The sequence below is a fragment of the Homo sapiens genome, chromosome 16 (assembly GCF_000001405.40).
Source record: "Homo sapiens chromosome 16, GRCh38.p14 Primary Assembly".
NCBI classification, from domain to species: Eukaryota; Metazoa; Chordata; class Mammalia; order Primates; family Hominidae; genus Homo; species Homo sapiens.
Genome location: NC_000016.10, coordinates 154,714 through 170,978, shown reverse-complemented (window position 1 = coordinate 170,978; position 16,265 = coordinate 154,714). Strand labels below are relative to the sequence as shown.

The 16,265-nt window shown below is 56.7% G+C and overlaps 1 protein-coding gene, 1 long non-coding RNA gene and 2 pseudogenes across 2 annotated transcripts, besides 4 other annotated features; all 4 read right to left on the bottom strand.

Annotated features, from left to right (window-relative positions):
* Nucleotides 1-617: part of a biological region, named in NCBI's record as "hemoglobin subunit alpha 2 recombination region", that runs on past the window's edge. NCBI's record gives its function as "recombination_partner: LOC106804613".
* Nucleotides 417-919: an enhancer, noted in NCBI's record as "OCT4-H3K4me1 hESC enhancer chr16:220059-220561 (GRCh37/hg19 assembly coordinates)". NCBI's record gives its function as "activates a minimal SCP1, AML or CMV promoter by ChIP-STARR-seq in primed H9 embryonic stem cells {active_cell/tissue: H9 hESC(primed)}" and the evidence as "EXISTENCE:reporter gene assay evidence [ECO:0000049][PMID:30033119]".
* Nucleotides 559-617: a non allelic homologous recombination region, noted in NCBI's record as "X2 box recombination sub-region, recombines with the X1 box recombination sub-region within the hemoglobin subunit alpha 1 recombination region". NCBI's record gives the evidence for it as "EXISTENCE:nucleotide sequencing assay evidence [ECO:0000219][PMID:14747441]".
* HBAP1 (hemoglobin subunit alpha pseudogene 1) lies at nt 1,527-2,338 on the bottom strand (annotated as a pseudogene).
* On the bottom strand, nt 4,215-5,001 carry HBM (hemoglobin subunit mu). The gene is made up of 3 exons (NM_001003938.4): nt 4,890-5,001; nt 4,507-4,711; nt 4,215-4,399 (listed from the first exon to the last, which is right to left on the bottom strand). Exons 1-3 carry the CDS (start codon nt 4,979-4,981, stop codon nt 4,271-4,273), a joined length of 426 nt encoding a protein of 141 aa, NP_001003938.1. The 5' UTR covers nt 4,982-5,001; the 3' UTR covers nt 4,215-4,270.
* On the bottom strand, nt 5,774-7,912 carry HBZP1 (hemoglobin subunit zeta pseudogene 1; annotated as a pseudogene).
* Nucleotides 6,694-7,194: an enhancer, noted in NCBI's record as "H3K4me1 hESC enhancer chr16:213784-214284 (GRCh37/hg19 assembly coordinates)". NCBI's record gives its function as "activates a minimal SCP1, AML or CMV promoter by ChIP-STARR-seq in naive H9 embryonic stem cells {active_cell/tissue: H9 hESC(naive)}" and the evidence as "EXISTENCE:reporter gene assay evidence [ECO:0000049][PMID:30033119]".
* On the bottom strand, nt 8,058-10,032 carry LOC107983982 (uncharacterized). Its single transcript, XR_001752047.1, has 3 exons — nt 9,551-10,032; nt 8,422-8,486; nt 8,058-8,343 (listed from the first exon to the last, which is right to left on the bottom strand). It is a non-coding gene; the product is annotated as an uncharacterized LOC107983982 (long non-coding RNA).

The window sequence follows — 16,265 nt, the reverse complement described above, 5'->3', positions numbered from 1 at the left end:
CATGGGATGGGGCCCATGGGCTGAGTTCCAAACCCTTCATTTTGGTCTCTTCTGGGGGTGGGTGTGAGGAGACAGGAAAGAGAGACACTCTCCTACTTTAAGTAACACAAAAAAGGGTGTGTGTGTGTGTGTGTGTGTGTGTGTGTGAAAGCATGGATAGATTTTAGTTTATTTATTTATTTATTTATTTATTTTTTGAGACGGAGTTTTGCTCTTGTTGCCCAGGCTGGAGTGCAATGGCGTGATCTCAGCTCACCTCAACCTCCACCTCCCGGGTTCAAGCGATTCTCCTGCCTCAGCCTTCCTAGTAGCTAGGATTACAGGCATGCGCCACCACACCCAGCTAATTTTGTATTTTTAGTATAACTGGGGTTTCTCCATATTGGTCAGGCTGGTCTCAAACTCCCGACCTCAGGTGATCCTCTCGCCTCAGCCTCCCAAAGTACTGGGATTACAGGTGTGAGCCACCGTGCCTGTCGGATTTTAGTTTATTTTTTAAAGTGTTTCTGTTGAAATAACAATGCTCTGGGCTGTGAGGCACAGGAAGAGTGGGTGGTGGAGAGGGGGAGGGAACTCCCCAACAATTCAGAGAGGTCCATGTCCAGAAGAAAAGCGGTGACAGGGTCCTCTCCACCCTACCCAAAGCTCAATTCAGTACTGTGAGTGTGGAGGGGGAGGCTTGCTGTGGGGCAGGGGCTGGGCTGGAAGTGCTGCTCGTGTTCCTAGGCTGGCTGAGAGCCAGATGGGCTGTGCAACTTCCCAGCATGGATTCCAGGACTTCAGCACCGGGGACAGGGACGTTTCCAGAAGTTGCTGGCAGCACAGGAAGCAGAAGCACCAGGAGGTCCCAGAGGCCCTGGGTGGGGCAATTAGCTGGGAGCTCAGGGCTGGGCACACAGTGAGTTCTGAATGCACCTTACAAACTGCAGGAGACGTGCAGGAGTAAGGCCGCAAGGTGCTCTGCTGAAGAGTCTCCCCAGGTGTGGGCTGCCGGCTGTGAGCATCCCAGCCCCTTCCTCCTTCCCCACTGACTGGGCTGCTCTCAGAGGGTCACCATGACACAGGAAGTGTGAGTAGGGCCAGCACCCTCACTCCAGCCACCTACCCTCTGGCAGGAAGGGGTGAGAATGAGAGAAATGTTCTGGCACCTGCACTTGCATTGGGGACAGCCTATTTTGCTAGTTTGTTTTGTTTCGTTTTGTTTTGATGGAGAGCGTATGTTAACTGGGTTCAACCAGGGAGATTTCAAAGGAGGGTGGCGATGCTGGGACTCCCTGAGTAGAACCCTGGATGCCTCTCTCCTCCCCAGCTTCTGAGCCACTGCCTGCAGGCCTGGCACCTCTCAGGACAGGGGATGGTTCAGCACCTTCTCTTGAGCAGGCCCACCTCAGCTTCCCCTCCCATACTCCCTGCAGTTCTCCCTCCCCAGCCCCATGCAGCTGCAGAGAGGTCCTTGGTCTGAGACAGGTAAACACCTCCACTGTTGGCACATTCCGGGACAGAGAGAACCCAGGCACACACAGGCTGCTGCCTACTCGGACTTCATTCAAAGATCAGGAAGTGCTGGGGCAGGGAGGGGAGGAGGGCCTGGTGGGAGGCCCAGCAGGCAGGGGGCATGACCACCAATGCTCTAGCTTAATGGTGTTTTTAGGTCAACACAGCACTCACAAAAGCAAATAATTTGTCCATGGAGGCACCACATGGGTAAACTGGGAAGGGTGTGGCAGGCCTAGGTCACCAGCAGGCATTTACCCAGGAACTGTGGAGAGAGAGTCAGGGGATGCAGATACTACTGCCACCTGTGCTCCACCTCCCTGAACGCGTGGGAGGGTCTGTCCTATGAGGAAGGCCAGCTGCCCCCACACCCTAGATTCCTCCCAGCCCAAAGCTCTCCCTGATGTTGCCTGGGTCCACCCACAGCTCGTGGACATGCAGCTTCCTCAGCTCAGACACATCATTGGGCATGTCATCTAAGTGGACCACGGCATTGGTCAGCGTGTCGGCCACCTACTTGCATTGTTTCTTGATCTGGGCTGAGCCATAACTCAGGGCCAAGTGAGAGGAAGGTCAGGAACATGCTTCAGGGGGAAGCAAAGAGTGAGGGGCTGGGGGCTGGGTCCAGGGTAAGAATAGTTAGGGGTGGCCAGTGGAGCCCTGGAGTGGGCGTTGGACCCAAGGTGTGAGCAGGGAGAGGAGGGTTCTTGCCTCTCCAGGGCCTCCGTGGCATAGCCAGCAGTGTGGTTGCCAACTTTCTCCCAGACCGCCTTGGTGTTAGCCTTGTCCTCAGGAGACAGCACCACGGCAGCTTATTTCTGAGTCTGTGTAAGCTCAAAAGTGAAAGGTGGGGGAGAGTAGGAGCTCTTATGCCTGGGATGCAGGGTCATTGGCTGGCAAGTTGCCAGGAGGTGCCTGGCACAGGAAAGGGGAGGAGGAGTGAGTGAGAGTAGACAGGTTGCCCAAGGCTGCCCTGCGTCTCTTAGTCCTGCCCAAACAGAGACCAGCTCTCCACATGGTAGCCTTCCCGCTGGCATTGTCCTGAGCTTCCACACAGGGTCCTGAGCAGCTTATACCCATAAGGTATCCACATATGGCCCAGACCCAGGCAGCTTCCTGGATGGGGAGAAGAGCACAGTTTTTCCAAAGTGAAACATAAGCTGCTTTCACACCAAACTCTGCCTGGGACAAAAAGCTGTTAATTATCCATGTAAACAGTTGCGGGGGCTGGGTGTGGTGGCTCACGCCTGTCATCCCAGCACTTTGGGAGACCGAGGAGGGCAGATCACTTGAGGTCAGGAGTTTGAGACCAGCCTGATCAACATGGTGAAACTGTGTCTCTATTAAAAATACAAAAATTAGCCAGGAATGGCGGCCCATGCCTGTAATCCCAGCTACACGGGAGACAGAGGCAGGAGAATCGCTTGAACCCAGGAGGTTGAGGCTGCAGTGAGCCAAAACTGTGCCACTGCACTCCAGCCGGGGTGTCAGAGCAAGGGCCTATCTCAAAAACAAAAACAAAGCAAAAAAAAAAAAAACCCCCAAAAACAAAAAAACAGTTGGGGGATGTAGATAACGTGGGGCCAAGTTCTCCAAACTACCGGGCTGGGGTCCCAGGCAGTGCAGGGCAACAGGTCACTGGCACTGACTGCTGGGGGGAGTTTGGCCGACTCACAGTCAGGGCTCCACTTCCAGCAGCTCTCTTCAGACCTCGTTGCTGACTGCCAGGTCAGACCTGGGTGCCAGGCCTGGTCCAGTGCTCCCCACACAGACCCAGGATGGCCAACCCAGAGCCAACCCTATTCAGGGTTTGGAGACCTCCAAGGTCCCACTCTTTCCTCAGCCCCTATTCTTTGTCTGAAAAGCCTGGGGTGGAGCCCTAAGATTCCCTTCCCAGTCCTGGGGAGGGAGAAGAGGGAACCTGGGGAAGGGAGTGCCTTGGCCTGGGCACCTGCAGAGATTGAGACACGGCAGCTGGGGCTGGGTGGAGGGGTGGGGTGGCAACGACCCTGCAGGCACCCACCCTGTGTTATGATTTCAAAAATTATTTCAAAAATCTCGTGAGTTGGACGTTGTTTTTCTATTCGATAGGTAAAGGCCTGAGAGCTCTGGGACACGCCCAGGGTCGCACAGCTTGTCATTGAGCAGGCTGGAAGACTAAACCTGCTCTGTCTGCCAAATTGTGGCCACTGAGGACTTCCTCCCGACCTCATCCCCAGGGCTGCAGGGTCACAGGGAGGGCTAACCAGGCTAGCGCAGGTTTGCCACTGAGGAAGTGTCCATGGGGGAAGGAAGGGGAAAGGAACAGGTCTGCGGAGCCCTCTGCTCTGGGCCAACGAATTAGGTTGCACATTTGGCTCTGGGACCTCAGTTTCTGCATCTCTCTGCAAAAAGGGCCAGGATTAGCATCTACAGGTCCCAGCAGGAAGTGGGGATGGAGGGAGAATGAATGAATAAATGCGTGAATGGGGAAGTGCTTTGCGAACAGTATGGTTGGAAGCCCGATTCAAGGGTTGAAGTCGAAGGCCACCCTCCCTACCCCCGCCACATCACAGTGCTCCCTCTGCCCCATCGCACTCCTCGCCATGGGAGGACAAACCTCCGGGGGTGGGGCGCATTTGAGAGTTCTAGGAGGCTCCTTTTAGGTCCCTGAGCTTCACTGGCCAACAATAGTGACCTCGCTTTGCTAGCTCCCCAAAGACCACACAGGCAGGGGCAGATGGTTCGGGCCTCTGTTTATTGACAGGCACAGACCAAGGCCTGCGCAGCACAGGGCTCAGCGGTATTTTTCGGTCAGCACCACGGCCACACCAGTCAGGAACTTGTCCCACGCCGCTTGCATTTGCACGGTGAACTCGTCCTGCAGGTGGGAGGCCAGCACGACGTGGAAACACTGGATTAGCAGCTGCAGGAGAAGGGGCCGGTGAGACGGGGTCTGCCCCGCTAGGGACCCCCAGAGCCCCCCCACCCCGGCTGCGCGCTGCACCATTGCCCCGGCCGGAAAGGCCTCACCGGAAAGTTGGCTGGGTCCACGCGCAGCACGAGCGCGTGCAGGTCCGCCAGCGGGCTCAGCGCGGCGCGCAGGTTGTCCACGTGCTGCACCGCCGCGCCCACAGCCGCCAGCATGCGCTGCCCGTGGCTCAGCAGCTGCGTCGCGTCCTGGCAGGCGCTCAGGTGCGGGAAGTAGACCTTGGTGCTGGGGTACACCGTGAAGAGCCTGCAGGACCAGGTCAGTGACCGGGGAGGAGGGCGGCTGCGTGGGGCTTCACTAGCGCCCACACCGCCCAGAGCCCGGGGATCCGCACCCGAAGGACCTTGGATGGCGTTGGCGGCCCACGCGCCCAAAACCCTCATCTCCACCTCCCTGAGCTCCCGGAGACCCCGCCTCTACCGACCTGAGCAGCAGCTCCGCCCCGAATTGCGCCTCGTGGCCCGCAATCAGGTCCCAGACCTGCGCGATTTGGGCGCGCTCCTGGGCGCTGAGCATGGCGCCGCCTGACGTGCTCTGGGGGCCGCGCCCGCCGCCCTGGCCTCCTTATAGAGCCTCCGGGCACCCCGCCCGTCCTTATCGGCCCGAGCGCGGCGGGAACGCGGGGACCCTCGGCCTGCGCCGGGGAACGTAACCAGCCCGGGTTCCCGTCTGTGTGGAGGCCTCGACCTCCGGGATCCCAGGGTTTCTGGCATTGACCCACGCCGTTGCGCGTGGGCACCTTTACTGCAGACTTTAGGGGCATCTGTTTACTCCCCTCGGGTAAAGTTACTGCTCTGCCAGGAGGGAGCACATGGGAGGAACCGGAGAGAGAACACCGGGCAGGAAACCCCCTACTCTCTTAGGAGTCGGGGAGGGACCGGCCTCAGGGACCCCCGTAGCTGCCAGAGTCCCGGGATTCGGACGTCAGGCTTTGTGGAAAAGTTCCCTGAGCCCCGACACGCTTCCAATACGCTTAGTGAAGTGACAATCTTTGTGCGATATGGGAAGCCGGGAGACGCACAAACGCCCGTCCGACTCAAGGACCCCAGGAGACGCCGCGGGCCGGCCCGGGACTGCTCCGCTCCACCCGGGCCGCAGCTCCGGTGCTCAGGGGCTAGAACCTCCCCAAGGCGCCCCCCAAGTGAACCCCAGGCCGCGACGACAGTGGGGACGACCGAGTTCCTGCGAAGCCCCCGGACCCATCACTCAGCTTCTCCCCTCCTTCCCTCCAATACTGAGAACACAGAGCCCAGATCGCTCCGTCCTCATCCATTTATTGGAGTCAGGGCAGGAACTGTGGGAGGGTGAAGGGCAGGGGAGGGGCCGCAGCCTGTCCTGGGGGTCCCGGAGGCGGCGCTCAGCGGTACTTCTCGGTCAGGACAGAGGATACGACCGATAGGAACTTGGCCCAGGCGGCGTGGGCCTCGGCCGTGAAGTCGGCGGGGAAGCGCGCGGCCAGGGTGACCAGCAGGCAGTGGGACAGGAGCTGGGGGCGGGGGCGGCTCAGTGCGGGGGCGGGGCCTAGCCCGGGCCCCGCCCCGCGACCCCACCCCGCCCCGCCCCGCCCCGCGCCCCGCCCCGCGACCCCGCCCCGCGACCCCGCCCCGGCCCGGCCCGCCCCGCCCCGCGCCCCGCCCCGCCCAGCCCCTCCCCGCCCCGCCCCGCCCCGCCGGGCCCCGGCCGCCCCGCCCGCCCCGCCCCGCCCCGCCCCGCCCCGCGACCCCGCCCCGCCCCGCGACCCCACCCCGCCCCGCCCCGCGACCCCGCCCCGCGGCCCCGCCCGCCCCGCGGCCCCGCCCCGCCCCGCCCGCACCGCGCCCCGCGCACCTTGAAGTTGACCGGGTCCACGCGCAGGATGTAGGCGTGCAGCTCGCTCAGCTTGGACAGGGCGCCGCCGATGTCGTCGATGCTCTTCACCGCGTCGCCCACGGCGGCCACCACCTTGGAGCCGTGCGCGCGCAACTGCGCGGACCCCGGGTGCAGGTCGAAGTGCGGGAAGTAGGTCTTGGTCTGCGGGTGGCTGAGGAAGAGCCTGGGACGGGGGGCGGGGGCCGTGAGCTCCCAGCAGCGCGGCCTCCCGCCACGGCCCACGCGCCCTGCGGCCCTCTCCGAGCACCGGGACACATCTGCGACCCCGCAGCAGGCCCCAGCCCCTCCTCGCGGGGCCCGGGTGCCCAGGCAGCTGCCCCTCCCAGGCTGCCCTGGGCTAGAGGCCCCCCAGGCCTCTGCAGCTCCCGGCTGATCGCCCTGCTTCCGACGGGTTCTGTGCAGCCTGGTCCCCAAATCTCCCGCCCTCCGCCTCCAGCACGCCTGGTGCCCCCAGCCCCTCCACCGTCTCCTCTGGCCACAGGACCTCCCTCCCAGCCCCAGACTGGGTTGCCCGCCACCCCTTCTGCAGGCTCATGACCTCCCAGCAGCGTTCCAGGGAAGGAAAAGCTCCCTGGCCCCTCCCAGGGGATCAGATGCTGGGAATTTGAAGCTGGGACAGTGCCCTGATCCCAGATGCTGGGACTTTAGAGGCTGTAGTGCCCTGGCTGCCCTGTAAGGCCCTTCAGGCCTAGAACGAAACCTTTCACCCTCTGCTTGTCAGAACCTGGGCCTGTGCCTGCCCAGGTCTCAGCGAGCCCAGATGGTTGTGCAACTCCTAATCGTTCCCTCCTTACCCTGCCCTCCTCACTGAGAGGGAAGGCTATCTGTCTCCACTGTCCCCTCCCCACAGTCCCCTCCTCACTGTCCCTTCCTCACTCTCCCCTCCCCACTGTGCCCTCCCCATGGTCCCCTCCTCACTGTCCTCTCCCCACAGTCCCCTCCTCACTGTCCCCTCTCCATTGTCCCCTCCTCACTGTCCCCTCCCCATGGTCCCCTCCTCACTGTCCCCTCCCCAAGGTCCCCTCCTCACTGTCTCCTTCCCACGGTCCCCTCCTCACTGTCCCCTCCCCACGGTCCCCTCCTCACTGTCCCCTCCCCACGGTCCCCTCCTCACTGTCCCCTCCCTACGGTCCCCTCCTCACTGTCTCCTCCCCACGGTCCCCTCCTCACTGTCCCCTCCCCACGGTCCCCTCCTCACTGTCCCCTCCCCACTGTCCCCTCCCTATGGTCCCCTCCTCACTGTCCCCACTCCACGGTCCCCTTCCCATGGTCCCCTCCTCACTGTCCCCTCTCCACTGTCCTCTCCCCACTGTCTCCTACTCACTGTCCCCTCCCCACGGTCCCCTCCCCACTGCCCGCTCCCCACTGTCCCCACTCACATACCTGGCCTCCCACCCAGTCCCTCTGGCAGTCCCATCTGACACTCACCTCTCCAGAGTCTCGGTGCCGATGGTGTCGGCCTGCGTGGAGATCTTGGCCCACATGGACACAATGATGGTCCCCTAAGTCTTGGTCAGAGACATGGCGGCAGGGTGGGCGGCTGCACTGGAGTTGGGCCTGCTCAGGACTGGCCTTGGTAGTGCTCAGCCCCCAGGGTCCCCTTATATACAGGGAGCTGGGCCCAGCCAGGCTGTGGCCATTGGTCAGGTGAGGGGAGGGGGCTGCAGGGGTGGTGTTTCTTATCAGATCCAGTGACAAAGGGGCCCTCAGGTGGGACTGGGGGCTGAGGAACCTATCGCTTCTGTCTCCCCTTCTGCCCACCCCTGAGTCACAGCTGGAGCCCCAGCTTCAGGGAGATTGGGGCCCCAATCTGGGCATGAGAGTCCACGTGGTCAGCCCAGCCCGGACTGGCCTCAGGAGTGACTGTCCTTGACCTCCCTGTCCCTGTGATGACAGGGTGACCTAGAGCACATGGGCCCTGGCAGAGGGACGATCCATTCCTCACTTCACTGAAACTTCTCTGGCCCACCTTATGAGCTCCAGTTTGCAAATGAGGAAACCGAGACCCCCTAGAGAGAAAGTGGGACCCAGTGTCACAGGGTGGGAAGGGACAGACCTCTCCCACCTCCGGTGTGCAGCCCCCTCACCTGAATGAGGCTCGGTCTGGGGTTCTCCTCCAGTAGCCTTGTAGGGGACACTCTGAGCCGGGCACCTAGGCAGGAAAGCGTCTTGGGAGGCCGGACTCCTCACAGAAGGTGAGGTCATGCAGGCCTGCAATTCTGCTCACTATGTTCTCATCGCAGCCTGGAGGAGACCCTCCTCCAGCTCTACTGATTTATTTCTTTTTATCCTCTCTGTTTATTAACTCCCCCCTCCTCCGTTAGACAACCATTTCTATGTGCTGAATATATTCCTTTTAGTTAGTACGTGTGCTTGCAAAGGGTATGATTTTATGCATGTATTTTAAATTTATACGAATTATAGGTAGATATAAAAATTTTGTTTGTTAGTTTGTTTCTGAGATGGAGTCTTGCTCTGTCTCCCAGACTGGAGTGTGGTGGCATGATTTTGACCCACTGCAACCTCTGCCTCCTGGGTTCAAGTGATTCTCCTGCTTCAGTCTCCTGAGTAGCTGGGATTACAGGCACACACCACCACGGCCTGGCTAATTTTTGTATTTTTAGTACAGATGGAATTTCACCATGTTGGCCAGGCTGGTGTCGAACTCTTGACCTCAGGTGATCTGCCTGCCTCGGCCTCTGAAAGAGCTGGGATTATGAGCGTGAACCACCGTGCCCGGCCCATGCACATCTTTTTTAAATAGAGGATTTTTTAAAACAAGGGAAAAAAAGGCTGGGCGTGGTGGCTTGCTCATGGGGCCGCACATGGTGGCTCGTGGTTGTGATGAGGTCGCATCACTGCACTCCAGCCTGGGTGACAGAGCGAGGTTCTGCCTCAGAAAAAATAAAAATAAAAATAATAATAATAGAAAGAGAGAAAATGCATCTTCACACACTGATGCTTTTCCGTTGCTGCGTCAGCAAGCGTGCCCCCATCCCCGCTGACAGGTGCAACATCTTCAGCCTGCAGAGCTCCCCTTTGTGAACAAGCTCTAGTTTTTTTCTATTATAAACAACTCCATGAAGAATATCAGTGCTTTGGATCTTTTCCTGGTGATAGACCTCTAGAAGGGGAATTACTAGAAGGAGACTCAAGAGTATTCGTTTTTTAGCTTTTTGAAACAAATTACTTTTCAAGACAATTATATGGACTTACAGTTGCAAAATTAGCTGTTTGAGGCTCAGTGTGGGTGCCCTTCCTGCCCTCGGGCTGTCACCGCTGGCCTGGAGTAAGTTGGAAGTTTAGCACTACACACCATGGGGCAGCTTTCAGACCGCAGGCTGCAGAGGTGAGGGAATCCCACAGGAGACTGACACCCTTTGTTTTGAAAACTCCCTGGAGGGGGTCTCCAGCCAGAGTCAGGGTAGGGGGGGCAGGTGAGGCAGGTGAGGAGGGTATTGAAAGGACGCACAGGACCTTGGGGCCTGCAGTGTACCAGGCCTTGGGGTTGGGTGCATGAGGCAGAGGGATGCGTGCGATAGGATGTTAGCAACGGTAAATCAGCCTGGCTTGGAACCGGGTCAGGCGACTCCCCTGAGCCCCCTCTTCCCAAGCAGGGGCGCCTTTGGTCCTCAGAGGCTGGGGCATGGGGTTGCAGGGGCCTGGACGAGAGGGGCCGGGAGATCCTGAGGGCAGCAGATAAGGGCTGTACCACCAGCCCCAAGGCAGGCCCACAGCACCAAGTCTTTTCTCCCTGTAGCTGCAAGCCGTGCCGGGCTCCCTCACAGCCTGTGCCCCACAAGCCGTCCCGGGCACCTCTCACAACCTGTGCCCCACAAGCCGTCCTGGGCACCTCTTGCAGCCTGTGCCCCACAAGCCGTCCTGGGCACCCCTCACAACCTGTGCCCCACAAGCCGTCCCGGGCATCCTCACAGCCTGTGCCCCACAAGCCGTCCCAGGCACCTCTCACAGCCTGTGCCCCACAAGCCGTCCCGGGCACCCTCACAGCCTGTGCCCCACAAGCCGTCCCAGGCACCTCTCACAACCTGTGCCCCACAAGCCATCCCGGGCATCCTCACAACCTGTGCCCCACAAGCCGTCCCGGGCACCTCTCACAACCTGTGCCCCACAAGCCGTCCCAGGCACCCTCACAGCCTGTGCCCCACAAGCCGTCCCGGGCACCTCTCACAACCTGTGCCCCACGAGCTGTCCCGGGCACCCTCACAGCCTGTGCCCCACAAGCCGTCCCGGGCACCCTCACAGCCTGTGCCCCACAAGCCGTCCCGGGCACCTCTTGCAGCCTGTGCCCCACAAGCCGACCCGGGCACCCTCACAGCCTGTGCCCCACAAGCCGTCCCGGGCACGTCTCACAACCTGTGCCCCACAAGCCGTCCCGGGCACCTCTCACAACCTGTGCCCCACAAGCCGACCCGGGCACCTCTCACAACCTGTGCCCCACAAGCCGTCCCAGGCACCCTCACAGCCTGTGCCCCACAAGCCGTCCCAGGCACCTCTCACAACCTGTGTCCCACAAGCCGTCCCGGGCACCTCTCACAACCTGTGCCCCACAAGCCGTCCCGGGCACCTCTGAAACCTGTGCCCCACAAGCCGTCCCGGGCACCTCTCACAACCTGTGCCCCACAAGCCGTCCCGGGCACCCTCACAGCCTGTGCCCCACAAGCCGTCCTGGGCACCTCTCACAGCCTGTGCCCCACAAGCCGTCCAGGGCACCTCTCACAACCTGTGCCCCACAAGCCGTCCTGGGCACCTCTTGCAGCCTGTGCCCCACAAGCCGTCCCAGGCACCCTCACAGCCTGTGCCCAAGCCATTGGAAATACCAAGAGCTTCCTTGCACCAACAGCTTTTCACCTTTCTTTCTCCTTCTGGCTAGTCTTGTGTCCCGCCTCCACCCCAAGCCTGTGCTGTTATTTTCTAATAATGTGGGTGTGGCAGCTCAGCACCCATCCTGTCTACAACATGACATTAGCCTCCATCTGTGTCCTGGTGCTCCCATTGATGGGTGTGTCCATACAGACCTCTCTTCCGGACTCAGGCCCCAGGGCCTGATCCAGGGATGTATTTGATGTCCTCATCTGTGTGTCTCCAGCAAATCATCTCAACAATGGAACCGTGAAGTTCCCCACAAAGCCTACTCCACTGTCCTTCCCTGGCATCCCTGACTACTGCCCTTCCTTCCTGAGGCTCAGGCCGGAGAGCACAGCACCCTCGACACCCCCCACTCACTCCTGAAACTTACATATGGAGGAAAAGACAGACAAGGCCTCCTGTCCTCCCTCCCTCTATCCCTAGCTCCTGGCCACTCCCCTGAAGCCCCTTCCCTAGTATTGCCACTCCCTCAAATGTCACCACGTTAATAGACCTACAGTGGCCAACCCATTTAAAATCTGAATCCTCCCCTCCTCTGTCTAAGCCCCTACTTGCCCTGCTTTTCTTTATCCACAGGAAAAAAAAATGTTTCTGTTTACAGTCCACTAGAATGTAAGCTCAAGAGGAGCTTCAGGAATTTTTTTTTTTTTTTTTTTTGATGGAGTCTCGCTCTGTCTCCCAGGCTGGAGTGCAATGGCACGATCTTGGCTCACTGCAACCCCACCTCCTGGGTTCAAGCGATTCTCCTGCCTCAGCCTCCCGAGTAGCTGGGATTACAGGCTACCATGTCAGGAGTTTGAGACCAGCCTGGCCAACATGGTAAAACCCCGCCTCTACTAAAAATACCAAAATTAACCGGGCGTGGTGGTTCGCGCCTGTAATCCCAGCTACTCGGGAGGCTGAGGCAGGAGAACCTCTTGAACCCAGGAGGCAGAGGTTGCAGTGAACCAAGATTGTCCCACTGCCCTCCAGCCTGGGCGACAGAACAAGATTCCGTCTCAAAAAAGAAAAATAAATAAATACATATTTTAAAGAACATCCATTTCCTTCAGTAAATAACATCAAAAAGACTGCATTGATACGGTTAAATTCGCAGCACCCTCAGTCCTTTAGGGATGGAGTAAATGGCTGGTATCATTGCTTTCAAAAGGGTCTTGAACTTGATGTTGCTTCTGTTGATAGATGGATTTGGATCAATATTAACCTGATTTTGATGGTTGTTCTCTGGCTGTGCAGCCTAATGTCCTTGTTGATTTTAGGAAATACACAGTATATGGAGGATATTTAGAGTACGGATATTTGCATACCCCTCTCCAAGGGCTCCGAGAGAAAGAGCAAGTGGGGGCAAGAGAGAGCAAGCCGATGTGGTAGAATGTTAACAGCTGGAGAGTCTGGATGAGTAGTATTCAAGAGTTTTTCATATTCTTGTTATTTTATTTAACAGTTTTATTGAGATAAAATTCACCCACTTAATGTGTACATTTCAATAATTTTTTTTTTTTTTGAGACAGAGTCTCACTCTGTCGGCCAAGCTGGAGTTCAGTGGCACAATCTCGGCTCACTGCAACCTCTGTCTCCTGGGTTCAAGCAATTCTCCTGCCTCAGCCTCCCCAGTAGCTGGGATTACAGGCATGTGCCACCATGCGTGGCTAATTTTTGCATTTTTAGTAGGGACGGGGGTTTCACCATGTTGGCCAGGTTAGTCTGGAACTCCTGAGCTCAGGTAATCTGCCCGCGTTGGCCTCCCAAAGTGCTGGGATTACAGGGGTGAGCCACCACCCCCGGCCCATTTCAATAATTTTTAATGTGTTCACATAATTGTGCGACCATCACCATAATCAATTTTAGAAGGTTTCCATCACCCTCCAAAAGCCCCAAACCCACCAGCAGTCATCCTTCCTTCTCCATCTTTGTCTTATTCTTGCAGGGTGTTTTTATTTCTTCATAATCTGAATATGTTTCAAAATAAAAGCTTATGAAATTATTTTATATATGTTATGAGGAACAATAAACCACGGAGTGTTAGAGTGTCTTTGGAGTTCTTTCGGTCATAGCCGAGGTTCTGTGTTCAGAGGTCACCTGGAACAATCCTTTTTTCTGATTATTATATCACCACATTCTTACATTGGCTCATTTATTTAAGTTAGTTTTCAATTTGGGGGTTTTCAATTAGGAGTTTTCAATTTTCTCTCTCTTTTTTTTTTTTTTTTTAAATATAGATAAGGTCTCTCTCTGTTGCCCAGGCTGGAGTGCAGTGGTGCAATCATAGCTTACTACAGCCTGGAACTTCTGGGCTCAAGTGATACTCCCCTCCACCCCCAACTCAGCCTCCCAAGTAGCTGGGACTGCAGGTGCACCACCATGTCCAGCTAATTAAAAAATATATATATATTTTAGTAGAGATAAAGTCTTGCTATGTTGCCTAGGCTGGTCTTGAACTCCCAGGCTCAAGTGACCATCCCACCTTGGCCTCCCAAAGTGCTAAGATTCCAAGTGTGAGCCACTGCACCCAGTCACTCTTTTTGTTTGTGTGCTTTGCTTTTTTAGAGAGAGAGTATTGCTGTGTTGCTCAGGCTGAAGTGCGGTGGCACAATCATAGCTCACTGTAGCCTTCAACATCTGGGCTCCAGCAATCCTCCAGCCTCAGCCTCCTGAGTAGCTGGAACTGCAGGTGTGACGTAGGAGGTGGGACTCTGCATGTACTCCGGATGTTGGGCTCGGACACCGGACCAAACTGAGGACCAGCTAAAACAAGTAGGGCAGAAGCAGCTTTCCATAAGACACACCCACCAGTGTGCCATGGGAGTTTACCATCCCTTTCCATGGCAGTGACTGGACCACCCAGAAGTTACCACACTCATCCTAGAAATTTGTGCATAACTTTCCCTTAATTTGCATATAATGAAAAGTGGGTATAAAGATGAGTGCAGCAGTGCCTCTGAGTTGCTCTCCTGTGCACACAGCCTATGGGGTACCCCTGCTCTGTAAGGAGCAGTGTTCTGCTCCTGCTGTCTGCTGTGGCTTCGATATCAATCAGAGTTGCTGTGTAACACCACCAGCTTGCCCTTGAATTCCTTCCTGGGCAAACCTCCCAGGCTAACCCCCAATTTGGAGGCTACCATGCCCAGTTAATTTTTTAATCTTTTTGAGACGAGGTCCTGCTGTGTTACCTAGGCTGGCCTCCGACTCTTGGCATCAAGGGATCCTCCAGCCTTGGCCTCCCAAGTGGTAGGATTAGAGGCTTGAGCCACTGGCAAGGCCCCTCTTTTTATTTTAATCTTATTAATTTTGTAATTTTTTTTTTTTTTTTGAGAAGGAGTCTCACTCTATCACCTAGGCTGAAGGGCAGTGGCTTGAACCTGGCTCACTGCAAGCTCCGCCTCCCGGGTTCACACCATTCTCCTGCCTCAGCCTCCCAAGTAGCTGGGACTACAGGCACCCGCCACCACACCCGGCTAATTTCTTCTACTTTTTAGTAGAGACGGGGTTTCACCGTGTTAGCCAGGACGGTCTCAATCTCCTGACCTCGTGATCCGCCCACCTCGGCCTCCCACAGTGCTGGGATTACAGGCGTGAGCCACCGCGCCCGGCCTTAATTTTGTAATTTTTTTTAAAGACAGGGTCTCTCTATGTTGGCCAGGGTGGCCTTCAACTCCTGGCCTCAAGCAATCCTCTCCCCTTGGACTCCCAAAGTGCTAGGACTACAGGTATGAGCCACCATGCCCAGCCTGAATTTATTTTTGATAATGTAAAATATTTACACAAATCAAAGGTCAAAACTATGTAGAGAGTCAGACTTGCAGGAGCTTCCTTCCACCTTCCCCTCCATCCCCACCCACCTTATTATTTGTATTCATTTCCGGTTTGTCCTGCCATGGTTTATTTTTGCAGAAATAAGCACATGCGGGCACATACATGGTTGTGCACAAACACACATGTCCACACGCAGCCTCATACATAGTTATGCATAAGCTCACATATATGTGCACACACATATTCGTGTTTCTCCTCTGTTCCACCATTGTATACACACCATTCTAACCTCTTTATTTTCATTATTAGAAATTATCCTCATTTTAGGTCGGGCGCGGTGGCTCACACCTGTAATCCCAGCACTTTGGGAGGCCGAGGCGGGTGGATCACGAGGTCAGGAGATCGAGACCATCCTGGCTAACACGGTGAAACCCCGTCTCTACTAAAAATACAAAAAATTAGCCAGCCGTGGTGGCGGGCGCCTGTAGACCCAGCTACTCGGGAGGCTGAGGCAGGAGAATCGCTTGAAACCAGGAGGCGGAGCTTGCAGTGAGCCGGGATCGCACCACTGCACTCCAGCCTGGGCGACAGAGCGAGACTCCGTCTGAAAAAAAAAAAAAAAAAAAAAGAAATTATCCAATTATCCTCATTTTTTTTTTTCAGTCGAGCTCTCCATGGTGCGGATACCCTTGGTTTTTCCAGTTAGTCCTGATGATGGACACCTGGGTTTTCAGGTCTTTAGCAAATGAGATGCCCCGGTGGACTTGCGCCCCGGGCTGGTTCCCTCTGCCCTGGATGAGGGGTGCCCAGTGGAGGAGGGGCGCCTGCAGTCTGATCAAACTCTTGGATTTTTGCCTATCAGGGAGGTGAGACATGGATCTCAGTGAGGTTTTTTATTTTTGTGTAGTTTAACTTGCGTTTCTCTTATGAGTGAGGCTCAGCCTCTTTTCCTGTCTCATTTCTGTGAACTGTGATCTGACTGTCTTCATCACGTCTGTATCCCCCACTAGATTGTCAGCCCCACGGGGCAGAGGGCTTTCTTTATTTCAGCTGCGGTATCCATAGCCTAGAAACATGCCTAGGCTGTCTTATGCCCAGTAAATGTTTCATTGAGGAATGGAAGAAGGAATGAGTGAGCGCAGACGCCCATCCCTCCCCTCTTCGTCCTGATCGTTCTGAAATCAGGAAATAGTACACATTCGGGAGAAATAAAGAAGGAAGACCACGGAGGTCCCAGGGAGAGCCGCGGCGGGTGGGCGCCAGCACTGCTCCCCCCTCCGCAAAGGCCTAA